Genomic DNA, 27,956 nt, shown 5'->3' with positions numbered 1-27,956 from the left:
GGTACAAAAGTTTTATCTCCCTTTTACAGATTGGAAAACTGAAACTTGGAAAGACAGTGACTCTCCCCTGTCCCACAGGGCTAGACCATCATCTGGTTCTCATTCTACAGCTATTTGCACACGTTGTGTGGGATGGTGTGAGCTTTGGGGTCTCTACAAGTGTCCAAAAGGGGCACAAGTGTTATCTAAGTGCCTATGGCACATCTCTGGAGAAACTATGACCCCAGGTTTCTTACGTAAGAAACGTACCTCAATTTCATATTTTTTCCCTAGGAATCAAAGAACACATATCCATCAAAAGTATTGTATAATGATAACACTTGATCACATTTGACACTTGATACTTGAGATTTTTAGAATAAGAGTATATGATCTGCCAAAGAGAACTCATATAAAAAAAATATTTACTGCTCAAAATCTGTGTGTCTGTTTGTGATATATTTGCAGGTAAGATTTCCCTCCAGGCCCTGCCAATTTAGTGGAATAACAAGCGGGAGAAGGGTCATGCAGGGTGGTAAGAATGCAGTTGTATTCACATCCTCGTTGCCTGAGAATTTTGAAGGATATATAGAAGGAGGAGACTCTACCACAGAGAATGCATAGCAAATGTCTCATTGATGCTTCATCGCCTTCTCTCTCTTCTTAGGACACTCACGGCTGTCTTGTTGAATATTGTTTACAGCTCGCATTTGGAATTGGAATGTAATTCATGCCAATTGTTGCCAGACAATTGTATGAAGCACTGTATGCTTCACCCAAATATCTATAATCCCTTGGGTCTCCAAGGGAAGTATAGTTATCCCCATTATGCAGGTGGGAAGACTGAGCTCAGGAGGTTACTGGTGCCTGATCCACATCTGCCTAATGGCAGAACTGGAAGTGAAACTTAGAATTTGCTTACATTCCCCTTGACTACACTGCCATGTTAGTCACAGCAATTACATCTTACTCTTTGCTCCTCATTTAGGAAGAGGAAACAGGGCTGCTAGGCATTGAATGTGTTGTTGTATCTCCTGCCTCTTAAGGCAGTGAGTGCATTTGGGGGATAATAGGCACAGTGAGGTCCCAAAAGAATTCATCTACACACTAAAAGTTTATAAAATAAATTGACCTAACATTAACCTCAGTTCTTCCACTGATCTTAGCAAGTCTAAAGTGGCTCTAAACTGAGTAGAGTATACCGCAGTTCTTGGAACTCAGAGCTCCTCTGTGTGCTGCCATGCCTGGCTGGAAGAGCCTTATTTAATAGCAAGTGGCTTGCCTCAGGTCTGATGAAATAAAGTCAAGGGCATGAGGTTTCTAATTCATAGTTCAAGCATTGCCACACTTCTTTAAGCATTGCAGGCATGCTGTCCTGAGTTTGTGCTGAACACATCACCAACTTCTTTTCCGTTGCTCTCCTGTGTTGCTAATGGTCTTGTCATAATCACACTGGAGAACCCTGGAGCAGCCCAGACACTGCCTCCTCTCCCACCCCCTATGTTTAATCTGATGCCAAGTTTCTGATTTGCATAAGCTCTACCTTTGCATCCCTCTGGCATCCATCCTCTTGGTTCTCCTTCAGCGATCCCAGCCCTAATGTATCACGTGTCCAGGATGGTACTGTCACCGTTTAACCCAGGGGGCCACAAACTATAGCCTGCAAGCCCAATCCAGCCTGTTTCTGTACAACTCTTAAGCTAAGAATGGTTTTATTTTATTTTATTTTATTTTATTTTTAGAGACGGAGTCTCTCTCTGTCGCCCAGGCTGGAGTGCAGTGGTGCGATCTCACCTCACTGCAACCTCCGCCTCCCGGGTTCAAGTGATTCTTCTGCCTCAGCCTCCCAAGTAGCTGGGATTACAGGTGCGTGCCACCATGCCCGGCTAATTTTTGTATTTTTAGTAGAGATGGGGTTTCGTCATGCTGGCCAGGCTGGTCTTGAACTCCTGACCTCAGGTGATCCACCTGCCTCAGCCTTCCAAAGTGCTGGGATTACAAGCATGAACCATCACACCCAGCCGGTTTTTATGTTTTTAAATGGTTGGAAAAATTCAAAGAAGAATCATCTTTTGTAACACGTGAAAATTATATGAAATTCAAATTTCAATGTCTCTAAATAAATTTATTGGGACTCAGCCATGTTCATTCATTGCACATTGTCTATGGCTGCCTTCGTGCTGCAACGGCAGAGTTGAGTAGCTGCAACAGAGACCGTATGGCCTGAAAAGCCTATAATATTTACTGTCTGTCTCTTGACAGAGAAAGCTTGCTGGCCCCTGCCCTAGCTAGACCAGCCACTGCTGACCTTTCTCTGTCTCATCTTTCATTCCTTTTAATCTTTTCTCTGGTCATCCCCTCTTTGAAATCCTTCAAGACTCACCCATTGCCCAAAACTCTCAAGTTCCTTCATGATCTGCCCCCAAGCTAATCATTTCCATTTATTAATAGGAACTCCTTGCACTTCCCCAAGTGTGTCTTGTACTTCCCCACTATGGCTGTCAGTGTGGTGCTTTATTCCAGGAATAACTTCTCTTCCTATCTTCTTAGGAGAAAATCTTATGTCTCCTTTAGGCCTCATGGCAACAGCTGTCTCCTCCAAGAAAGCTAAGTCTCCTACTATTGCTACCTCTTAGGAATGCCCTAGCACTCTCCCTGTACTGCTTTTATTCCTTGAGGTTCTTTCTGTCACAGTCTGACTGTTTCAGCCTAGGTTGTGCAGTTTCTACTAGGGGTGAGATCTGTGAGGGCTAAGGCACAGATTTGGTGAGTGCAGGCTGGGTGTGTCTACCTGAGCAGGTGCTCTCTGGGCTCCATGGGACACTCTGCTTTCCCAGGTGTGTAATTCCTATGAATTTCCAGGACTTTTGTTCTCCTAAACCTATGTGACATTGTTTTGAAAGTGGGAAACAGAATTCAACATTTGGAAATTGATTTTTAACATTAATGTGAAAAGCCATTATCATTAGTTGAAGGTACATCACTTAATCTAAATCTCTTATCTAAGTATCTATCCATGTCTATATCTATTGACCCAACATCTGTCATCTTCATTTATCCATCTATCCATCTGTCAGTCTTCATCTCTATCTATTGATCCATACCAGTGCCCACATCTAAATTCCACAGCTGCAGTTCTAGCACTGTCACTTGATTGGTGATGTCCCATTTTTATGGAGTTACTCACAGATAGTCCTGCAACATCGTGTTCCTAATCTCCCTTACTGAGCTGCTTCCCATTTTTCCCATATTCCTGCCTTATGTTCCTGCCAAATTATGTACTTTCCTTCTCAGGGAAGAAACAATTCCTGTTTTAGTTTGCTAGGGCTGCTGTAACAAAGTGCCACAAACTGGATGGCCTAGAACAACAGAAATTTATTTTCTCGGTTCTGGAGGCCCGAAATCCAAGATCAAGGTGTCTGGAGGGCTGTGAGCCCCCTGAAGGCACTAGGGAAGGATCTGTTCCAGGCCCCTCTTCTAGCTTTGGTAGTTTGCTGGCAATTTTGGACATTTGTTGGCTTGTAGACACATTATGCAGATCTCTGCCTTCATGTTCACATGGTGTTCTGTGCGTGTGTATCTATCTGTGTTCACATTTTTCCTTTGTATAAGGACGTAGTAATATTGGATTAGGGCCCATCCTAGTGACTTCATCTTAACTTGAACATCTGCAAAGATCCCGTTTTCAAATAAGGTGACAATATGAGGTACTGTGGTGATGGTGTTTGAGGGGCACAATTCAATCCCTAACAGTTCCCTATTTGCTATGCTTTGTCTGTTGCTCCCGCCACATGGAATGTCTCCCGCTCCCCAGCCCATGCATTTCTGCCTGGTGACCATTTTTCTCACTGCCTCTTTCCCACCCGCATGTGATCTTATGACCACTCCCTCACTACAATCCCTCAGCTGTGGGTGTATGCCTCTCTCTTGCCACTCACCAGTGAAATACCATAATATAATCTGTTTTAGGACCCCATGACTAAACTTCCCATGCTCTCTTTTCCTTTTTACTTTCTCAGCTCCTGGAAGATTGATATTTAGGTATTTGCAAAATTATTTTTAGGTAAGCTTACAGAGGTATAGACTCCCATTCTTGGCACTGGGTTTTTAGCTCCTCTTTGCAGTCATTGTTTTTTACTCTTCTTACTCATCTTGATATTGCCTCTCCCTTTATCCAGCTCTGAACATAGTGGCCATGAGCATAGGAGGCCCTCAATGTGTGTTGGTTATTTGGAGATTTGGAGGACAGTGCAAGCAGGGATTTGATATACATTTGCTGGTATCTGCTATAGTGCCTGGCACTGCAAAATGCTGATGCTTGGGAGCTGTGTAGTATATATCTTCCACTCTTTTTCTAGGCCTTTGGGGGAGGTGATGACACCTGCACTGCCTAAACTGAGTATTTTGTGTGTGTGTCTCTGTGTATGAGTATGCTTCCATCAAATTAAAAAGGACCCAAAGAAAGGTGAAGAACTATTCTTCTCTACTGATGTACAATGGGACACCTTTCCTCCGTCTTCTTTTCCCCTTCATCACCTTCAGTAACTTCTTCATCATCACAAATCTTGGAATTCAGAGCCAAAAAATCCCAACTCAGAGGTTTATATTATTTGATTTTTTAGGGCCATAAATTTAGAATGAGCCAGCTATCTGATCCTATTAGCCACATCTTGATCTTAGATAATCTGCTTAAAATTGATACCACCCTGGAATGTGGACTTTACTGATTGCATTTCCTGCCAGATTCTGACTTTTGTCTTTTGCTCATCATATCCTAAATGGTACGGCCATGACTCCAAGGGAAGTTGAGCACCCTGGGGTAGCAGTTGGGACTTGAAGATGTTGGTTCCAGGAGCCATATGGCCAAGTCAGGGTAGGAGGCATTGATGTTAAGATATTTTTTTTCTTTCCTTACCTCAGAGTTATTTTGAAAGTAACATAATCATTTTTAAAGTCCTTAGAAGGAGAAATGCTTTGCAAGTGCCAAGATACTGTAGTGCAGCCTGAAGATAATGTGGCATATTGTTGTACAGATCACACACACACAAGTCAGATTACATGGTTCTGAAAAAACAAGACTTCAATTGTCTGAAATCCGTATCTATCACATGGGAAATAGAGAGAGCTGTTGGATTTGTTTCCTGCCCTTGGCATCTACATATAGAGGGGGTTAAGAACATGGGAGCTGAGATGGCAAAACCTGGATTCAAGTCCTGGCTCTGCCTCCCATTAACAGGGCAACTTGGCATGAATTACTGAGCATCTCTGCCCCTTCATTTCTGCATCCACAAACCAGGGTCCATACCAGTTCTCCCCTCATAGGGATGCTGAGAAGGTCAGATTAGAAAATCCATGCACAGCACTTTGCTCATTGCCTGGGCAAGTGAAAGTGCTTATAGATATTGGTTGTTGGTTTTTTTTTCCAAATAGTCTTATTAAGAAATGAAAAATAAATCCATGAACCATTTCATTGTAGTGTATGCGTCTGAAACAGTTCCAGGTAAGAGGAGAAGAATTATCAAACAGAAATGAACAATTAACTGCCAAGTGGCTTATACAGAGAGTGGAGTCTGAGCTGGGGGTGAAAGGATTGAACGGCAATTGGATGAGAAAAATAAATTAGAAGATAAGCATTCAGGACAGTGGAATACTGTGGAAGTGAGGACAGAAGCTGAAAGGCATACAGTGTGGTCAGAGTTTATGTGAACAAGAGAGTGTGAGTAGGGAAGGAGTAGATGATGAGACCAAATGGTTGGCTGGAGATAGAGTATGTCAATATCAGGATGGCAGCCTAAGCTGTTTGGGCATCACACAGTGGCACTTTCAAGTCACTGGTGGCTTCTGAGTGATTGGTGAATGGAATTTTTATTGATATGATTGGACAATAATACATAAAATGGATTAACTTAAGGACTGGAAGCTGGGAAACATGTTAAGAAGCCCCCAAACAGTGGCCCTAAAATAGGGTTGAGTGATGAGGAAGCATAAGCCAAGATTTGTTCATCATCTAGTGTGTGCCATGTGCCAGATACTGACCTGGGTGCCTTTAAAATTAAAAAAAAAAATCACAACAGCATCTGGGAGATAGACAAAGATATCCTCAGATATCCTCAGAAGGGGAAACTGAGGCTTAGGGAAGTTAAGTAATTTACTTAAAGTTACTATCTCTCAACTTTTCTGCCATGCTTTGCTAAAGTGGGGATCTAAATTAAAGAATGTGTTCATGAGATATTCCAAAACAAATCATTGAAATCAGGTGTTTGATATGGGGAATTAGAAAGGCACTGGCAAGAAATGAAGATGACTCCAAGAGTTTGAACTTAGGTAATTATAAGCATGATATGACTTTAGAGAATTGGCCTGTCAGAAAGGGAAATTGTTTGGGATGGGGATTGTAGAAATGTTGAGTTTGTTGTTATGATGCACAATAATGGGAATGCCAAGAAGCCAGCTGCCATTGTGAGAATAAAATTCAGAAGAAAGTTTGTGCTGGAGATAAAGGGCTAGAAGTCACCGCACAGGAGATGGACATTAATGATGGAGGGTACAGGGAGATGGAGAGAGGAGCAGACGGCTAGAGCAGCATTTCCCACATTTTACTCTGCATAGAAATCATCTGAGGATTCTGTTAAAATGCAGATCCCAATCCGGTAGGTTTTGGATGGAGCCTGAGATGCTGCATTTCTGACAAACTCCTGGTGATCCTGTTGCTGTCAGTCTGAGATCCAAACCTTATGTAGCCAGGGGTGAAAAGACTGATGCTTGAGAAACTAGCATAGGGACCAGTGAAGGAAGAGAAGCCAACAGAAAGAAAGGGAGCAGAAAGGTAGGAAAATGATGAGGATGGTACAGTACTCTAGGTGTCATGGGGGGTGTGGGATGGTCAAGGTGCCACATTCTGTGGAATGAACAAGGTAAAATGATCAAAGAGTGGAGAAAATCTAGTCATGGGGTAACCATTGGTGACCTTCAAGAGGTCAGTTTTGTAAAAGGATTAGAACTTGGATTATGGGAATGTAATCATGAATGATCTGCAAAACAGTGGAGGTTAGGGTTGGAATTAAGTTATGCAAATTGTTGGTATCCAAAGGAACTAAGAAAATGGGATGAAAACAAATGGTATGGTAAAGTGGGGGACATTGCTCCATCATTTACTAGGTAAGAGACTGAGAGTGTGGGCATACATTTGTTTGGTATGTGTGCACATACCCAAAGATAGAGATAAACATATATAGATTTCTGTACAAAAGGGAATATAACAGCAAAGGCAGAAGATGTTGAAGAGACAGGAAATAATTGAAGAAGGAAGTTGGAGATAATATTGAAGGTATCAGTTAAAGGGTTAGTTTTGGAAACAAAATAAATTTTTCTCCAATATAGAAAGGCAAATAATTGGGCTCTGGTCAGGATGGTACCATAAGTTTGTGCTTTAGTTTCCTCCTCTGCTCCAAATATGTAACAATGACAAAAATTATAAAAAGACATGGCTGGGCCCCAAAACAAGATAAATAATCTGTGAACAAGAAATGGTACAGAAATAAAAAGTGATGTGCAGAGTTACATTCATTGTTACGCTGGGTTCCAAGTCTAGAATCAAAAAGTCAGGGCAGGAATTTAGCTCTGGAGGGTATCTGCAGAACGGTATGTGCTCCACATTGTCAGAGGATCAGAGCTAGACTCACTGCTTCAAGTCTTGGGGTGGGGATAGTGAAGAAAAGAGTCTGAAAAGATAATGTGGCTGACCCCTATCTGGGTTCCTAATAGGAACCTGTGAGCCTGAGGAAGTGGGAGAGAGACGATAAAGTTGTAGCTTTGAGACCATGAACTGACTTAAGCCGCTCAACTAGCTGAAGACTGTTGTACTCTACCCTCAGTATTACCCTTGTAGGAGGACTCCAAGTCATTATTATAGGATTTGGTTTATAATTGAAGTCCCAGGAAGCTAGATGGAGGTAACAACAACAGCAGCAACAAATTAGACAATATGAGTGAGAAGAAAAGGAAAAGGGAAAAAACAAAGAAAACCAGAAAAAATTATTTTCACTCAAAATGAATTAAAGTGAAAAATCTTGAAACAAGCCCAGGCATGATGGCTCACACCTGTAATCCCAGCGCTTTGGGAGGCTGAGGTGGGCGCATCCCTTGAGGTCAGGAGTTATAGACCAGTCTGGCCAACATGGTGAAACCACATCTCTACTAAAAATACAAAAATTAGCCAAGTGTGGTAGTGTGCACCTGTAATCCCAGCTACTTAAGTGGCTGAGGCATGAGAATCTCTTTTTTTTTTTCGTGTCAGCACTAGATCTATATGATTTATTTTCTTGGACTTTTTTTTTATACTTTAAGTTCTAGGGTACATGTGCACAACGTGCAGGTTTGTTACATATGTATACATGTGCCATGTTGGTGTGCTGCACCCATTAACTCGTCATTTACATTAGGTATATCTCCTAATGCTATTCCTCCCCCTCCCCCAACTCCACAACAGGCCCCAGTGTGTGATGTTCCCCTTCCTGTGTCCAAGTGTTCTCATTGTTCGATTCCCACCTATGAGTGAGAACATGTGGTGTTTGGTTTTTTGTCCTTGCGATAGTTTGCTGAGAATGATGGTTTCCAGCTTCATCCATGTCCCTGCAAAGGAAATGAACACATCATTTTTTATGGCTGCTTAGTATTCCATGGTGTATATGTGCTGCATTTTCTTAATCCAGTCTATCATTGATGGACATTTGGGTTGGTTCCAAGTCTTCACTATTGTGAATAGTAACACAATAAACATACGTGTGCATGTGTCTTTATAGCAGCATGATTTATAATCCTTTGGGTATATACCCAGTAATGGGATGGCTGGATCAAATGGTATCTCTAGTTCTAGATCCTTGAGGAATTGCCACACTGTCTTCCACAATGGTTGAACTAGTTTATAGTCCCACCAACAGTGTAAAAGTATTCCTATTTCTCCACTGTTGGACCCAGGAGGTGAAAGTTGCAGTGAGCCAAGATTGCACCACTGCACCCCAGCCTGGGTGACAGAGCCAGACCCTCTCTAAAAAAAATAAAAATAAAAAAAAGTATGAAACACATGAAAAAAATATAATGATAAGCATGTTTGTTATTATGTATGACTTTTATTCAGTAATATTCTTGTAATGCTAGCCACTTCAATAAGATAAAAGAAATAAAAGAATTGGAAAGACAGATTATCCTTATTGTGAAGATTCTGATCACCCTACATAGAACATCAAAGGGTATTCATAAAATAATCATTAGAACTAATTAGGGAGTCCAGCAAATTTGCTAATATAGGATCAATAAACAAAAATCAACGTCTTCCCTAAACACCATTAAATTATAAATTCTGAATGAAAATTTAAAGTATAACTTTCTATTTTAAATCAGCTTTTTATTTTAAAATAGCTTTAGACATATAGAAGTTATAACAGTGGTACCGAGCATTCCCTTATATCTCTCATCCAGTTTCTCCTATTGTAATCATTCTATATCACCATGATACATTTGTCACAAGTAAGAAATGAGTGTAGGTACATTATTCTTAATTAAGTTCAATACTATACTCTGATTTCATCAGTTTCCCCCAAATGTCCTTTCTCCATTCCTGGACCACATCCAGAACACCACTTTACATTTAGTTATCATGTCTTCTTAGCCTTCTATGATCTCTGACAGTTTCTTAGACTTTCCTTGTCCTTGATTACCTTGATGGTCAGGTTTCATGTAGAATATCTCTCAATTTTGGCTGTCAGTTGGGATATTGGGAAGGAAGACCACAGAGGTGAAAGGCCATTCTCATCACTTCACTTAAAGAGTGCATGCTTATCACATGACTTAACACTGATGATGCTAACCCTCATTACCTGGCTGAGATGGTGTTTGTCAGTTTTCTCCACTGCAAAACTACATTCTCCCTCTTTCCGTATACTTTGGAAGTAAGCCAATAACAGTGTACACTCAAGGGGTGGGGGGAAGTGAAACTCTACGTCCTTGAGTGAGGAGTCTCTGCGTAAAGTATTCGTAATTCTTCTGTAAGGGAGATTTATTAAACGTAGTACTTTTATCTTATATTTATTATTATTATTATTATTATTTTGAGACAGATTCTCACTGTGTCACCCAGGCTGGAGTGCAGTGTCACGATCTCGGCCACGTCCAGCCCTAAACGTAGTACTTTTAAAGGAAAAGGTAATATCCTGACATTGAGGAGGAAAATATCTCTTAACATACAGATTTAAGTAACATAAAGGGAAAGGTGAATACATTTGAATACATTAATTTAAAAAAAAATCTATGAGTACTGTATACAAAGTTAAAAGACAAACAGTATCTTGAGATGACATCATTTCAATGCATATATATATAACAAAGAATTTGCATAGAGAATAAATAACAAACTCCCACAAATCAAGAAAAGAGTAACTACACACACACACACACACACACATCTATCTATCTATATATATCTATGTCTAGATATATAGATAGAGAGAGAAAGACACACACAAGAAAATGAGGAAAGGATACAAATAGGCAGTTCACAGTTCCTTAATTGGGGAAACCCTTATTGAGATGATGTACAACCTCAGTAGTAATTAGGGAAATGAATCTTAAAACTACAAGGAGATAACATCTTCCACCCATCAGTTTGTTAGAAAAAATATCTGATATGGGAAGATGGGGTAGGAAGTTCATCCATTTAGTGATTATAGAAATATGAGTTGGTAATACTTTGGGTAAACATTTAGCAATAGAATTATGTTAAGGATTCAATTACACTAAATTTAGGGATCTCTTCCAAAGATGTGCTTCTCAAATGTTTTTGTGCGTAGAAATCACCTGAGGAGCTTATTAAACCACAGATGTTGATTCAGCGGGGTCTGAGCATCTTCATTTTTACCCAACTACCAGCTGATGCTGATGCTGCTTGTCCACTTGCCTGCACTTTGAGTAAAAAAGCTCTAGAGTAGAGGTCAGCAAACTATCACTCATTGGCCAAGGGCCAAATCTGGCTCTTGCCTATTTTTACAAATGAAATTTTACTGGAACACTCTCATTTGTTTATGTGTTGTCTGTGGCTGCCTTCAGACTATACTGGCAGAGTTTAGTGGTAGCAGCAGAGACTGCATGGTTTGCAAAGCCTAAAATATTTTCTATCTGGTCCTTTATAGGATAAGTTTGCCAACTACTGCTCTGGAGAAATTCTCCCACATGTGCATACAGATATGTGTGTAATAATATTGATCGCAACTTTTTTTGGAATAATCAAAAGATAGAAACAAGTGTCAGTTGGCAGAATAGGCAGATAATTTGTAGCATATTCACATCATGGACTTCGTTAGCTAAAATTAATGAACGGGAGCTACATGTATCAACATGGATAAATCTAGAAAATACCCACTTTTTAAAAGCTTAAACTTACACAGAACAAAACTATAATTTGGTTATGGATATATGCATATGCAGCAAAATTATTTCAAGATTCCTGAAAAGGATAATCAGCTATTTCAGAGCAGTGGTTACTTCTGGTGATGGGGTAGAGGAGAAACAGGGTTATATGTGAACTCACATGGGTTCTCAGCCATTGCAGTAATGGATTATTTGTTTAGAAATTTGAGAAGAAGATATCAAAATATTATAAATTGTTAATGCTGGAGGTAGGCACAGAGTTTCTACACTTTTCTGATATTTTAGATATTTCAAACATTTGAAAAGAGTCAAAAGACTCAGGAAAAAATATACTGAATACAAAGACAGATATTTTGAAGTACAAGGAAGGCAATGAAGATAGATTATTAATACCCGAGATTCTCTCTACTCTCAGTTAAGCAAGAAAAGAAGATGCTCAGCTATTACAAATTGTTCCTTATTTAGTGAATTCTGAGAATGGTAAAGAAATTTTTTTTCCATATGACTAGTATTGCTCCATGGCTTATGAAGTATTATGATTCTAAGAGGTCACTTCACCCATGTTATGGAGTGGAAGGATTTTCACTTTCTCTGGGGACTAACATTTCACTCCTTTAAGCCAAGATCAGCTTATCATTGGAATAGTCTTAGTGATTCCAAGTGGTGGGTGGCCCCCCAGCACACCTCCCCCCTTTTTTTGAGTTAGAGCCTTGAAATACTCATCAGGGACAAGCTGTGAGAGCCTTCAAGATCCCTTCAGGAGCGAGTCTTTTGCTTTTGTCTGAGAATCTCAGTGGTCCATGCCCCTTTATCTCAGCCAGGCATGGATGTCCTCCCCCTGTGACTTCCTGTGGGCATGACGCCATGAGCTAAATTGTAGTCGGGGTACATTCAGCCTCAGCCCCCTCCCTCTGAGCATCTGCACACAGCTGGAACCAGACTTGGCAACCGTGGCATGCGGGCCAGGACAATCTCGTCACTCATTTTCCCAGCAGCATTGAGGTGACTTTATAGGAAGAGGCGGCCCATACTGAAGTTGGGGGTCTCAGTTCAGTACTCTTAGCTACACAGTATACAACAGGGACATTTTGGTTCTAAGTACCTTTCAATATTGTATAGAACCCTTTGAAATGTGTTTGTTATTATAGGGATGTAGGAACACTTTGGGTCCAGTTATTCCCCCATGAAATGTACAGCTATATTAAAAAGTCCTGCTTGTTGGCATTCAACAACCTTTTGTCGTGTGCCTTATACATGTCAGGCAATGCGGAAGACACAGCCAGTGGATGACATGAGTGCCACCTTCTCTCCCAGCAGTAGCTTTTTCCAGCATTATGCTTCAGCATGGTGTCCTGTTGGGAACCTGATTTCTGACCATGCTTGCTTCCCTTACTCACATAGTTCAGTTTCTGAGCTGTCTCCCCCTTCTGAGATAGGTTTGTCCCTCTGCTGTAGGTTTCCAGCCACTTCTTTATCATTGTTAGCCATGACCAGAGGGAGCATAAGTTTGGTATTTTAGGGGCATTCAACAAGGCTTGCAGAGATGGGATTTCCTGGTCTTAATGCACAGCCTATAACCTAGTACAATAAACATAATGTTTATTGTACAGTTTGAATCTCAAATGCAAAGACAAGCCATGTAGGTACTGTAAATAAGTGCAGGGGTGAAGGATAATAGGAATTGGTGGAGAATATGGCAAGCTGGAGAACACACACTCACACACCTCGTATAAACTGAGTGGCTACCGCAGTGGGTTATCACTGTGCAGTAATTCTGGCCCAGGGTTGCCAGAACTCTCGGACTTTCAAGGGAAGCTAGAAATGGGGATATTTTAAATGTGAGATCTCCCAAGTTTTAAATGCTGGCAACTAAGCAACAAATTTTTAAAAAGACCATTTGTGTTAAAAAATAAAATAAAAGGCACATCATAAGGCCATATACGGCCTGTGGGTTAGGTTTGCAATCTCAGAGTAATAAAAGAAATAACCTGAAAGTTTAAAGCAGCATAGACTGTGGCCAGCAAGCCTAGGCGTTTGGGGCTCACTCACCTCGGCCAGTGCCGCCATCCTTTTATTGAATCCGATGGCATGAGAAGAAAGAACTTAGACTCAAAAAAGCGATAACTACACCCAAGGAAAAGATACAGAACAAATCAATCATAACCATAGCCCAGGCACCATTAGAATGCTTTGATGATCACCTTCCCACAACCTTAGAAGGGCCACCATACAGGCAAGAAAAGAAGCAAGAGACATGTGTCTATGAGGAATCCTTTCTTCACCAAGATTCACTCGTTTCTGTCCATGCTTGTTTACACAGTGGCCTGGGGTGGGTGCTCAGGAAAGAGTTCCACTGGGTACCATGCTTGGCTTACCAAGGGTATTCTCAGATATTCCACAACCCTTGGTTAGGGTATGACTATATTTTAATTATCCATCTCTCCATACTCATTACTACCTCACGTTCATGTGGTCATTTTTCATCCTCTCTAGGCTGAACTCCCTGAAACATCATCAAAATGAAGGGGTCCGTGACCAGACAGAGTTTGGGTTTCCTTATCTGGAAGGTCCCAGTGCATGCGAAGTGTCATTGTGAGGGTGGGGGTGAAGCCACCAGGGATAGAATTAAACCAGGGTTGGCCAGGGGAGGGAATGACAGGGTATGGTGCTGCTTACCTTCCTAACTAAGGAAGCTGTTAATAAGGTAAGAAAGCCCTGCCCTCTGTTTAGAACTTGTTGAAGTGGCCAGAGTGAGAGCCCTGTTCCCCCAAGAGAACGTCCTTACCATCACTATCTTGACCTCCATTTCACCCCCTTCCTGGATATTGGTTTTCCACAAATGAGATCCGTATTGCAAAGTGGTTAGTTGCAAGGACTTTGGAGGTATGAAGAGCTGGATTCAAATTTAGACTTTGCCACAAAGTGAACTTGGGGCTGTTTTTCCATATTATAAAGGCACAGTTTTCTCCCTTGTAAAGTGGAGTTAATACTATCCACCTTTTGGGGATGTTGAGGTATAAAGAACTAACTGTAGGTGATACCTGTCACTGGCACTCCCTTATATAGATCTATGGATTCCAGGGCTATCAGCAACATGTCTGATGGTACGATTGGCATAGTTGGGTATTGCTCGGGGCTCCCTGCTCCATTCCATGCCTACCTGCAATGGGGTTGAAAAACATCTCACCTCTTCTTACCTCTTGGGGGAAAGGTGGGAAAGTTGTGGAAAGTGTGGCACCCTGACTGGGGTGGGATGCCCTTCCCACTGCATTGCCTTCTGGCTCCCTGTTAGTCTACCACCCAGGGCCCCAGCGCCAGCACTCCTGTGTATTTCAGCCCATGCTAGGGTACAAAATGCTTTTTTCCACAGCCAGTGCTATGTCAGTGCTAAGGGTTACTGTGATGTAGCAACTTGAAGATGATGAATGAATACATTTGAAGAGGGGATGTTTGAAAATAATTCTATAGAACTGCATTTGGTATTGGGACTGTTGTCTAAACCATAACCTAAACTACTTTATGCAGTTAGGTAATAGTCTCATCTCAGATAACAAAAGGAAGAAGCAGAGACAGAAGGAGAAGGAGAGGTCTGTGAGAATCCACAGTCAGGTGGAAAGAGTGTAGGCAGAAGATGCAGGGAATACCTTCTCCCTGGAAGGTGCTGGGCTGGTAGCTCCAGAATCCCAAGGCCAGAGCACAGGGGTGAAACCCCAGCAAGGGAGAGAGAATTAGAATCTGCAAGAATCTCAGAAAAACAGATTTGAATGTCTTTTTATGTGGCAAAACCATGGGAACTGACCTTTCCTTGCTGCAGTCAATATAAAGGACTTGCCTTTAGAGATTCAACCAGCTCTTGACTCAATAGGATTGGCTCCAGAACCTCTCATCCAATCGTATGGGTGCTCAATGCCCCTTCTCCCCTAAGCTCCATTTACAGTGTCCCTCCCTTTCCCAAAAAGATCCCAGAGCCTCTGGCTTGCTTCTCAGGGAAAGTATTCTTAGAAGATCCCTGAAGACCCAGCTCTGTTCTGAATTACAGAGAGCCTACAGGTACCTTTGTGCTGAATGTTTTGGGGAAAGCTGTTGACAGACAGAGGAAAAGGTCAGATGTAGCGGGGTCTGTGGGCCCCTGGTGGGTAAGGCCTTCTTTGGAAATGCCTTTGATTTGCCCCTCTTCAGCCTTTTCTTCACCATTTACCCCTTTACCAGTGTCCACTGTGGTTCTGGGCTCCCCTGCTCTTCCCCCAGTAAATGCCTTTTGCTTTCTGCTCAGGGGTTGTTCTGAGACAGAGGGAGAGGAATGGAGGATTTTGGAGCAGTGCCTCTTATGCTATCAGGCTTCAGCTTTTAGAATCTTGGAAAGACTCCACCTGGGAAAGAGTTCCAGAGAAAACAAACTTCAGATCCCGGCTCATATGGGAAAGGGCTCATGTTCACGAAGGCAGCTTCGGGGACATTGGCAGAGACTTAGGCGGGCTTGGCCCTGGTCTTTAATGGATCCGACACGGATCTTTCCAGGGCCCACAAATGCTGCATGGTCTCCAAAGGAGATTTCATCCTCAGAAGCTACAATGATATCTCTTTATAGAAGTTGTAGTCTTCAGGTCTTCAGTGAGCTAACAGCTTTTGTTTTTCCAATGGTTTATGCCCTAACAATGGCAAGGAAGATTTTAAGGAACCAAACACCACCACCTCCTCTCATCTCCTCATCATCCCCGCCTTGTCACATTGCTTTCCTCTTGAAAATTAGCTGAATTTTTTTGATGGGATATTAGAAGCCAGAAAGAGGGTCTTGGGTCCAGGATTATCTCCCAAGTCAGAAGAAACATCCATCCAGGCCCAGGAATGACACTCTGAATGGCAATGATGGGCACCATTTTGAGACATTCTGGTCCAAGAAGGAAAATGGGGGGCAAATATGTTAGGAAAAGTGCAGGACAGAGTTCATGGTGATGGTGAATCTTTCTTCTCTGACTCTAACTTGTGCCATTTCTATAATGCCAGGGTGAGATTCTTAGGATCTAGATTTTATGCGTAAAATAAACCAGCTGCCACTACAGGCACAGCAGAGTGGGTACAGGAGCTGAGAAACCTGGATTTCTGTTTCTGGCATTGTGCACTTAAGAAAAATACTTTCCCATGTTTTTTGCACTTGGGGTTTAATACTGACCATTAATTCCCCCATGTCTGCCTCTTCTGCCAGGGGTCTTTTCAAACATAGACAATCATGGGATATTAAACTTGAAGGACAATAGAGATCATCTAGTCCCATCAACTCACTATATATATGAGGAACCTGAGGTCCAGAGTGGGGAAGTGTCTTACCCAAGGTCACATGGTGAGTTACCTCCTTTGACGTCTTTGTATGCAGTAAAGATCCCTCCCCTAACCAATTTTGGTTCTTAAGACCTTAAGACTCATCAAGCCTCCATATATTTCGTGGACTGAGGTACGACTAGGTGCCCAGCACGGGATTTGGTACTAAAAAAATCCCTTAAATTAAAGGAGTGTCTTCCAGGGGAGGAAGCTTCATAGGGCCTAGGTAAGGGCTATGGGAGAAGCAGGAGAGGACCATGGCCTGGAAAGAGACAGTGGTGTCACAAACTTTCTCAGCAGGCTACCCAGACCAATGGCCTTCCTTCCCTTTTCCTTCATACCCCAGATAACCTTTATCTGGGGTCAGGGCAGGGATGCTGTCTCAGAAATGTCTCACCTTGAAACAGCCTCCCTCCAAACATGATGTCATAGGCAAGGAAGGTTTCCTCTATCTTCACAAATCTGACCCCACCTCCTTCAGAGGAAGGGGTCCCAGCACCCCAAATGACTCAATACTGTTTTGTCCATAGCATGTCCTGGGCAGGAGGACAGGAAAGTCTCAATGCAATCAAATTTTGTTTCAAGTTTTTCCCATCATATTCCCAATGTCCAGAGGCCCCTTATGACCTCTACATTCCTGAGCATAGCTTCCATAAAAAGATAGGCTTACTCTGTGCACATATTCACACACACATACACATTCAAACACACACATATGTGTACACACACATATATTCGCACATACATGCAAACACACATGGAAACACATACACACATCCACATGAAAACACACAGGTGTACACATGCAAACACAAACATACAGATGCACACAAACACACAAATACACATGCAAACACACATGCAAACAGATACACACATGGAAACACATGTACACATGCAAACACACACACATGCAAATGCACACACACACTCTTTACACACACTTTTAAAATCTGTAGTTGATTGAACAACATCTTTCTGGAAATTTTATTAGGAACTCCCACTTTTCAGGATATCCTAACTCAGTCCATGGCTGTATGGCCAGAAAGGAAATGAGCTGTCATGGAAGTCCTCCTTGCTCGAGGCAGCACGTGGCCTCGGGGCCACCAGTGTTACTCCTCCAGGGTATTTTCCTCCCCTGTAAGATTTGGAAAGATGGCAAGGCTCAGAGATCAGCCGTTACTCTCTAAACCTTCCACAGACCTGTGGTGTGAGGCGAAAAGGTCAATGAGAAAGAGCTTGTAGGCTTGGGAGTATAGCACCCCCACCTCCTGGTGTGGTCAGAAGTGGTCTGTGTAATTTTAGCTCCTAGAATTAGAAATGCCCCTCTGGTATCCTTAAAGAGTGTCAGTTCTGGGAAAGCATAGCCTTCTCCTCCCATCCCTTAGCCCCTAAGTGACCCTACAGTGCATACCCCTTCTCCGACACACCCCTCAGCTCATCGTCAGGGTCTCCTCCTTTCAGAAAGATGCTTATAGACTGAGACCCACTTAGATGAGACCTCTCCTCCTCTTCCATGACAATCCAAGGCCAAGCCCCCAAAGGTTTTGCTCCCTTCCCTTCCTCAGTTCAGTGGAGGCTGCAGCAAAATGGAGTGTTTCCAGTTTCTCTGACCATGCAGGGTTTTAAGTTAATCCCCTCCTCCTATCCTTCCCTTTTGCTGACAGTTCTTCCCCTTTCAAGCTCCCTCTCTATTTCCCCTCCTAGTTTTGATCTTCTTTGGGGGTTTTGGTTTTTACTTTATTTTGCTTTTTTCTGTTTTTTTTTCTTTTTGTTTTTTATAGGTTTCAGAGAAATTATGTTGAATCCAATAAGCCTTCCCGGACATTCCAAGCCTCTTAACCATGGCATCTATGTTGAGGATGTCAATGTTTATTTCAGCAAAGGACGTCATGGCTTTTAAAAACTCCTTTTAAGCCTCCTTGTTTTGATGTCACCTTGGTAGGCTGGGCCCTCTGAGAGGTTGGAAGCTCTAGGCATTGTTCTCTTTGGATCCAGGGATGCTAAGTAGAAACTGCATGAGCCACCAGTGCCCCGGCACCCTTTAACACCACCAGATGGGTGTTTTCCCCCATCCACCACTGGCAGGGTTGCCCCTTCCCTCCAATCATCACTGTGCTCCTTTTTTCCCGGCCTACGAGGCAGCTCCTGCCACTATCTTTAGAGCCAATAAAGAGAATTAAAAACCTGTGCACCAGGAGCATCTTTTAAATACACTAGCCATTCTCTTGCTTTACAAAAACAACCTAACCATCACAAGAAAGCCTGATGAAGTCCAGCCGTGCTCCAGCCTCACTTTCCCTGCTTGGAAGCGTGGGGTCTCCCTGGCTCTCCCAGGATACCATGCTGTCCTCTTAGTGACCTCGTCGCCCTGCAACCTCCAGTGGGGAAGAGTCACAGAGAGCACCTAAGCAGAGGTGGAGACGGCGCGGTAAGAGGAGGGGGAGCCAGGCTCAAGTATTGGCACCAAGTTAGGTCTCAGAGGAAAGAATGGAAACCAATCACTTTACATTTTTATTTTTATTTTCGGTGGAAAAATCATCCTTTTTTGGGACATACTTGCCCCCTACTTCCTCTTCTCTCTGGAACGGCTCACAATGAGTGTGACATTAGAAAACTCCTTGCAGAGGAGAGTTTCTCCAGGCTCTTCCTGGGCCCTTAGATCTGCAGTTCCGACAAGCTTTGGCTGCAGGAGGTTTTACCCATGAACTGGCCATCCTACTAGGACCACAAGGGACCAAGGGAATCAGGGACAAAGGCCCTTCCTGCCAGCCCATGATCCCGGGATTGGCTCTCTTCCCCTACTTCCACTTATTCTTGACTCTGAGAACTTTTGGAACCCAATGGAATCAGCATTTCAAGGTCAAGATGAACTGAAGGGGAAGAGAAGTAAAACTTGGCCTCCTCCAGCCCCTCTCATGGCACCAATGGAAGTGTCCTCCTGTTCTCTGGTCAATATGTGTGTTTACTTTGCTTGCTTTGACTCATGCCTTACTCCATGGCCACCCTCTCCCAAAGAGGGGGCTCGCTTCCCCCATTTTCAACTTGATCCACTGAGGAGAGGGAAGGGGGTGACTTTCCCTTCTTCAGTAGGAAAGGCACATTTGTAGGGCCTGAAACTCTCCCGTATTTGCTGACTCATTGGTGGAGTAGACTTCTGGCTCCCAGCTCCACTGGCCCATGGGGCCTCCATTGTATGAAGTCAGCATAGGCTGCCCACCTAATGGTGGAGAGCATGAAACTGGGAGCATCCTGTGGGGGGCTTGTGGGGGAAAAAGGTGGTTGTTTTAACCCACCGTTGTTTTGGGGTGGTGTTGCACACTAGTAGAGAATAGAGTCTATGCCTTTGGCAAATTTAACTGGGAGTTTGGATTCCCACTTAAGGGTTTTACTTCTTGGGTCCTGTGGATGGTGGTTCTTCGTGTCAGGATCCCAGCCCGATTCTGCAAATGCCTCCATGGGGTTTAAAAACATGAGGCTTTCCAAGTTCTTGCCCAGTATCTGGGGCAGCCTCCAGAGTATCACCTGGGAGTTCAGGTTCTCTCCAGGGCTCCAGGTGTGTGTTTATCTCGCCCCCTCCAGCTCTCCTCATCCTGCTCCCCATTGCTCCATGTCAGGCTGTTCCCCATTGTGCCCTGCTGATGCTTTGGGTCCAGGGCCTCCTCCCAAGTGTGGCTTTAAGGAGTAAGCTTGAGGATGATGTTTTTTAATTATTGTAAATCATTACCTCATTTCCAGCCTCCCAGGCTCCATCCATCCCAGCATCTTTTATTCTGCCATTTTCCTCACCTTGTGCTATGACAATGGGGCGTTGTGTTTCCACAGAGACTTATAGGAGTGTTCAGTGTATAGTTTCTTAATAAACACTTTATTTTCTAATGAAATGACTGAATCAGACCTCTTATTTGGAAATTTTGCAAAAACATTCAAAATACAGAAATTCCAGGTTACCTGCATTTTTTCCTGTTTTCCTGTTACTCTTTTAAAGAAGTTTCTTAGTTAAGTTCTTTGTTTACAAAGGTGTTCACAATCTGTTCCATTGGTTGCTTTCATTGAGAGTCTTCCAGATAGCTTAGGCTCATACAGTAAAGTGCTTTTTCATCGTATTGAGAAAGAATTAGAGGCTCAGAGAGGTTGAATGGTTCATCCAGGGTCACACAGTGTGAGAGGTGAAAGCAAGATTCAAATCTGACTTCTACAGACACTACTCAGGCCACTGAGACCCTCACTCCTTTGGTAGCTGGGGAATGTTCTGTTGTCTGAGCAGCCAAGGCTCACAGAAATCTTCTCTTGAGAGCTGATATATGGGGGTCTGAGAGTGGGGTTGGGGATCCTTTATCTTTGGTGCACCAGCAAAGCCAGTGGGGCTGTCCCTAGGATGGAGTGGTTTTGTATGTTCCCTGTGGATGTTGGGAAAGTGACCTTGCCCAAGGAAAGACGGGGCTTTGGGCGTACAGGTCAACACACTTGTCATTCAGAGACACACTCCCTTTCATGCACACACTCAGGTGAGCCACACTCTCATGGCAAGTTTCATGTGGGCTGCCAGGAGGGAGAGGCCAAAGAGTAAAATGCTTAGATGAACTGGCACATCTGTGCACCCTTGGACCCTGGCAGTGACACAGCTAGAAGAGTTGAAATGCTCCCTGTAACTTGCCCTCTTCCTTTCAGGAGGAGAGGACACCGTGAGGCCCTGTATGCAGGAGAGATGGAGCAAGAGTGGAGAATGCGGGCCGGGAAAAGGCTCCTGGGTGGATCTGAATGCTTCACTGGGCCCCAGTAATCCCTGATGGAGCTCAGTCATTGAGGCAGTAGAGATGAGACAAGTAAAGTAATGTGGAAGAGCTCACGTTCCAGTCTGACAGGAAGTTGATCAGGCTAGGTTGGTGCTTTTCTATATACCCTCAGTTGCTTTATCTTCTATTTAAGTCTAGTTTGGTTTGAGACCCCCTTATGCCAAATGGAAGCTCCTGCTCTCTAGAGTGGCCTGGGTGAGGGGTAGACCAAGCTCGGCATTTATCTCTTCTTGAGGGTTCCAAGGAGAAAGAGTTGGAACAGGGATGCCTGAAGGGTTGAGGCTGTCCTGGGGACCATGAGGACATGCACTGGTTCGAGGGAGAACTTTCATTTTTAATATAGGAGAGATTTGAGCTTTCTTTTTTTCTGATGCTTGGAGCCTATCAGTGTATGGGAGAAGAGATAATAGATAAAGATGGCCCCTGAGAATATGGGAAGGAAAAGTATCCACAGCTCAGGAGGAAGGGATAGCATTGGCCTCATGGAGGGAGTGCTCTTCCCATAGAGCAGGAGGCAAAAAGAGGAAAGGATGTGGAATGTCTTTTCAAGGTGATAGGGCAAGGAAGTGAGGGAGTTCTTGTCTGGTGGCTTCCATTTTTCCTATAAAGAATGAGGCAAGGCCTTGTGCTGCTAGTGAGAAGACCCAAGGAGAGTTGGAACATCTGAATTGACGGGGAAGAGACTATGGACGACTATGGGGATCTATGGAAAGGTTGCTGGGCAGAATGAGGAACCAGCTGCGATTGGAGTCTAGGCCTCCGTTTTCCATGTTTTACTGCTAGGTGTTGAAGTCTCATGGCATTTACCCCAGGGTTGGTGCCTCTAGGGAAGTCAGAGCTGGTATAGGGCAGATGCGGAGAGCTGAACTCAGCCCAGAAAGATGCCAGTTTGGACTGGCCTCAGCTTAGGGTGGCTCAGGGAACCAGCCAGTCCTGCAGCTCCCTGACCTCCTGCATTCGAATGTCACCAACAGGATTTCACAGTAGCTTTGTCAGACCTTAAGCTTACATTTTGATCCTGCGGGATTTTGCTGCACAGATTGACAGCTGACTCAGTTCACGAACCCAGGGTGCTTGCCAGGCGCTCCCTGGATCTTCATTCTAGAGACTTGGTTGACAGGTGCTGGTTCTGAAGCTCAGAGAATGAGAAACTCAACTGTACCAATAAGATCTTGTAGAAACAAGGTGAAATTCGATCTAACACATTCCAGGGACATGCCCTGGAGAGGCTGGACTTTTTTACTAGCATTACATGATGAGGTCCTGGAACTGGTTGCCAACCTCCCAAGAATGGGTTTACTGTGGGGCATTAATAGTAATAATTCTATGTAACTTATGAAGCACTTACTCAGAACCAGTCAGATTTTACCCACAAGGAAGCTGAAGCTCAGAAAGATTGAATAACTAGCTCAGGTTTCCACAGCTTGAAACTGGCAGAACCAGGACTGACAGGGGGACTGCCTGACACCTCAAAATGCTTTTGGCCACTCTGCAGCCCCCTAAAGTAGCACATCTTCTGCTCCTGGAAGGCTATGATTGTGAAACACCACCTAGGTGCTCCCCCCTCCAACCCCACTCCACTCCTAAGACAGAGAAGTCTTTCAGGGGTCTTCAGGGATGAGCACCATCCCTGACTTCCTTCTGGAACTTTTGGGACAGGGTGATTTTAAAGACTGGAAAAGAACATCTGCAACGTTCTTTCCTCTCATTGTAGCATTTAGTGACTTGGGGGTGTATGAAAGCATGGTTGGGCTTAGATCTGAGATTAATCACATGTCTTACAGTTGGTGAGATTCCCAAGCAATGATGGCCTTTTTGATATTGGGGAGGACTCATCATACAGTTGGATGAGACCAACCTGATCCTTAGGATAGCAGTTAGGCTGCCCAGGTCTGGGCAAGGGTGAGAAGCTTCAGATAGGAAGGTGGTAGAAGAAAGGATGAGACCAACCTGATCCTTAGGATATCAGGTTAGGCTGCCCAGGTCTGGGCAAGGGTGAGCAGCTTCAGACAGGAAGGTAGTAGAAGAAAGGGCCTTGTCTGACTACCCACTGTCACTTAACCTTTCTTCAACGCACCTCAAAGACCTCCTGATATGTCCAAGCTCAGCCATGCAATGCTCACCCTAAAAAGACCAAACACAAATCAGGCTCAATTTGGAAGTCAAGAATCTGACCTCTAGCCACCTCTGTCTCTTCTTTTGTGCGGGAATCCCTTTCTGCAGCCAAGCTCCCAGCAGCCACATCCTCACCTCCACCTCCCCAGCCACAGGTGTGACCGCAGCACAGCACTGGGCTGTGACACATCCCCTGGCTCGTCCCAGTTCCCTCAGGTCAAGACCAGGCATGAGCAAAGGATCAAGCATCTCAGATACAATGGTGAGGCAGCAAGGGAGGGTTGGATGCCGCGGGAAAGCTCAGGAGCGGGCAGATCAATGCAGGACGACTTCATTGTTGTGTAGCTTTCTGCACGGAGCCAGACATGGATTAGGCAAAGAGCCGGAGCCTTTGTTCCTTCAGGGTTTACTGACTCCTGTGCTCTGGCTAGACTCGCACATTGCTGCCAGCATGACTCTGAAAGCAAGAGCAAAATGAAGGTGGCAGGGAGGGAGAGACAGGGAGGGGGAGAGGGGCGATGCTGGCTGCTTGGAGTCTTCTCTGTGAAGGGCCCAGGGAAAACTCTTAAGCATGACAGCAGAGACGGGAGGAAGGTGGAGAACAATGGGGAGTCTGGCTTCCATCTAGACTGTCCAGCACGGGCCTGGAGCTCTCCTCCTCCTCTCTCCCAGCTCTCCCCCACCCACCACATTGCCAATCTTTAATGCTGGCTGATGTGGGCGAAACTGCTTGCAGCCTCCAGATTCCTTGGATAGCTCTGGTTCTGCATTTTGCCTTTAGAAATCCTACTGTTACCACCCCCTATACTTCCCACCTCCCAAGAAAACCTCAGCCTAGATCTGACAGTATATTTCCAGAGCTAAATAAGACTCCTTCTTCAACCCTACTTGAACCCAAAAGTGAGTTGAAGGAGATATGCTGGCAAGAGATAAGTCCCTTGTCTGCTTTTTTGGGTGGTTCTGAAATTCCATCAGGATTCTGAGGCCCTCTTGGGTAGGACTTTTGTTCCAGTTTCTCCTACTCAGTGGATAAAACTTGCATAGAGTGACCCCAGTTTCCCTTGAAATTAAATCTTGATAAGGGAAGAGATTTCTGCACGGGTGATAAGGTCTAACACCCCTCTGTGTTTTTGCCCCTTTTCATTTTGGCACATTTTCCTTCTATCACAAAATATCTGGGTGTTTGTGCCTGAGAGAGCTAGATCTTCTCTCCTCATTATGCTTGACTTCTGGGTGGGTGTGAATGCATTGCTCAAAGGTTCTGTATGCTCCTGGGCCAGGATGGCGAGGAATGACAAAAACGAGGGGGACAAGGAAGATATCAGAGGCAAACCTTTGACTGGGGCATGCTCTGCTTTGAGAGAAGGGAACAAGAAAGACAGGAGCACTTCTGAGGAGCACAGATCCCACAGGGACGTAGAAGGTACTGATGGCTCAGATTTGGTATCAAAGGCCTCCAGCCCAGGTCTGTGTGGGTTGTATCTGGGAAGGAACTTGGAACTCTGAGGTAGAGGAAAACGGCAGGGTTGCAAATTACCCAGAGAACTGAGCTGTAGAGAAATCTTAGCTGAGGGCTCTGGTGGGACTTTCAAACCAAGATACATGAGCCTTCCATATGGGACCAGATGGGCACCTGGCTTTCTCAGGATCATGGTATTTTCTCATGACCCTCTACCAAAAGGATCCTCTCAAAGCTTCTCTTAAATAGATGATTTAAGGCTTTGATTTACCTATGGGTGGGGACTGGGGCCTTTGGCGTAAGTCAAGAAGAATGGAGCTTGGCTTTTCTGAGAGCCAAAACCCTCGAGCAGTTCTCACTTCACACCCTAAGAGTAATGTCAAGTAATGTCTGAGTTTGGAGGGGTGGTCAAAATCCCCTGCTCAGCTATGGAGAGGGTTTGCAGAGCAAGGAGTGAGGCTGCCCAAAGGCATCGTTCCAGTATGGCAGTCCCTGACTTTTGTCTTCTTCCAAGTTTGAGGGACAGAACATCATGTCACCTCAGAAAACACTACCAAACCTGGCTTTGGTAAGTAATGCTGGAAGCCTTTGTGGATTGCAGTGATGACCAGCTTGTCTTCATGGCTGTCTTTGCCTCAGTTTCTGCCACCTGTGTGCTGTTATCATGGCAGCTCAATGAAGCCTAGCTCTGCCTTTGGAGACCTCACTGGAGCAAGTGGCCTATTTCCCTGAAAAAGACACATTCTCCCCTCCCTTGCCCTCAAGTTCATTCTGCAGTGAGAAGGACAAGGACTTAGCCTTGGCAAAGGGGAAAGTGACTTCACTGCTGTCTAATATGGCCTGGTGATACCTCTGTTACAGAGTTCTGATAGACCACTTACTTTCTCACTCCAAAGCTCACACTACCTTCAGTCTGTTTGGGACCTCGTAATGTCGTTTAAAAATCACATTGTGGTATTCTTTGCTCTGCAAGGCTTGCAATAGCCTTTGGTCAAAAGTCATGAAATCCTGACCTTCAAAAACGCACTTCTCTTAAAAAGAGAGGGTGTGGAGCTGTGGGGAGCACATGTGCTCTTCTAGGGATGGGGCAGGTCTACAGAGCCTGTGACATGGTCCTTGGCAGCTGCACAGGCCTAGGGAAATATTTACCTCTCACAGCTAGGTTCTTGAGCGTGTCGGGAGCTCATGACATGGAGGGTCCTCTAGTTTTAAGCTGAAAGGGTTTAGCCTCTGTGACGCAGGGGACCCCTGCACCTACAAAGGCTAATTTCCAGTCTTTCTCAGCACTGGGTCAGACAAGCAGTCTCCAAGCTCTGCCCTCTTGCTGCCAAAGTCAAGGCAAGGGTGACAGAAGGAACATTCCAGAGTACTGGCTAGATACTAACTAAATCTAGCCTATTAATTATATTCTGTCAGAATCTCTGGATGCTCTTGCTATTAATTCTGAAAGAAAATTCACATGGCAGAGAACATGAGAGTAAATCTCAAACAACTTCTGTCAAGACTGCTAGTTCCTGACAGCTCACCCTGGCCAGGAGGGCACAGCCAGGATCTGTGATGCTCTCTGGTTGCCCCCAACCGGCGACCATAGCTCCTCACTGAGGCCTTTTGCTTCAGAGGGAGCCAGATATAGAGCTGGCCAGGGAGAACTTGAGTCTGTTTCCTCCCACTGTCAGTGGGCAGCAGGGGAGGCACCACCAATATAGAACATATTCTGAGAATGTCCTTCTTGGGAGAATTTAAATTCTAAGTTCATGTTTAAATGACTCACAGAATCGTTCAATCTTTATGGCTGTCAATTTGGCATTTCTTGCTACCATAACAGGAGATTGCTACACAGTACCTCTGATACCAAATGGCCAACCTAGTCGTTAAGAAGACCAGAATAACCCCACTGTGCATTTTCAGGATGGTGTCTTTGGCCATCTTAATAATTTTATTGGGTCAATCACTTGACCAACTGTTATCCTGCATAAATTGGTCTGTTTTCTGGGCAGAGCTTCAGGGCCTGCAATATGGTTCTCCCTTAATTTGAAATCCCCAACTTGCAGAAAAATCTTTTTCTCTTCCTCCAGTTACTAGACAAATGATGTTGTAAGGATCAAGTGCTCCCCTTTTTATTGATTGCAGCAATGTTTCTCCTTAGTCTCATGATATGCCAAGGATCCATCAGAGAACTTTGGAGAATGTTGCACAATATGGCCAGCTCTTAGAGTTTCACAGTTTGCATTAGGATATCAAAGGCTCCAAGAAGTCCTGCTGTAAACAAACCTTATTCTACCTCTTTCCAATTCTAATTAAACACAAAACATTCTTCATTTAATATCTATTAATAGACTCAGCACACACATGTTAGAAAACACTGGGTTATAGTGTGATCAGAAGCTTTTAAAGAAGAATCAAGCAGGATGTGTTCGTCAACCACCCACTTCTTATATCAAGAAACCACCACACCCAGCACGCTACCCAGCTCTAGGCTCAGCCCTCACTTCTGCCTTCTACGTAGAGTCAGAAAAAATTCTGGTTGCTGATGGATAGACACTCTTGTGAAGATCAGGAAACCTTCGCTGTGATATCTCAGAAGAAAATGGTAAGTCATTTCACATAAGAGCTTGAGACCTCAGCATTAAACCTGGCCATCCGCCCAGGCTGGTGGAGGTGACATCATCTAGTGGTAGCATACAGCAATGAAGACCCGGATCCCAGTCTCAACTCTACCACTAGCAAAATGACATGGGGTAAGTTACCTTTCCTTGTTCCATATTTGTCTCTGAGTAGCTAGTAGAGTTTGCTGATCCTCATGTAAAAGACCCTGCCTGGACAGATGCCCCAAATACCATGTCCCCATGAGTCACTGTTGTCTCTTAGTG

At 44.1% G+C, this 27,956-nt stretch overlaps 1 protein-coding gene across 25 annotated transcripts in view; it reads left to right on the top strand.

Moving 5' to 3' along the window:
- The window catches only part of NTRK3 (neurotrophic receptor tyrosine kinase 3), a 396,989-nt gene that overhangs the window by 258,776 nt on the left and 110,257 nt on the right, over positions 1-27,956 (top strand). For 5 of the 25 annotated variants that reach the window (NM_001007156.3, XM_047432602.1, XM_024449934.2 and 2 more), the window contains 2 exons: positions 16,604-16,738; positions 18,501-20,600. The exons of 18 other annotated variants lie outside the window; for them this stretch is intronic. In NM_001007156.3, coding sequence (NP_001007157.1) covers positions 16,604-16,738; positions 18,501-18,619 — 254 coding nt within the window. In that variant the 3' untranslated portion in view covers positions 18,620-20,600. 25 annotated transcript variants of the gene reach the window in all.

This window comes from Homo sapiens, chromosome 15 (genome assembly GCF_000001405.40).
Source record: "Homo sapiens chromosome 15, GRCh38.p14 Primary Assembly".
NCBI classification, from domain to species: domain Eukaryota; kingdom Metazoa; phylum Chordata; class Mammalia; order Primates; family Hominidae; genus Homo; species Homo sapiens.
The sequence above is the reverse complement of the archived record's forward strand: the minus strand, read 5'-3'. Positions and strand labels throughout refer to the sequence as shown.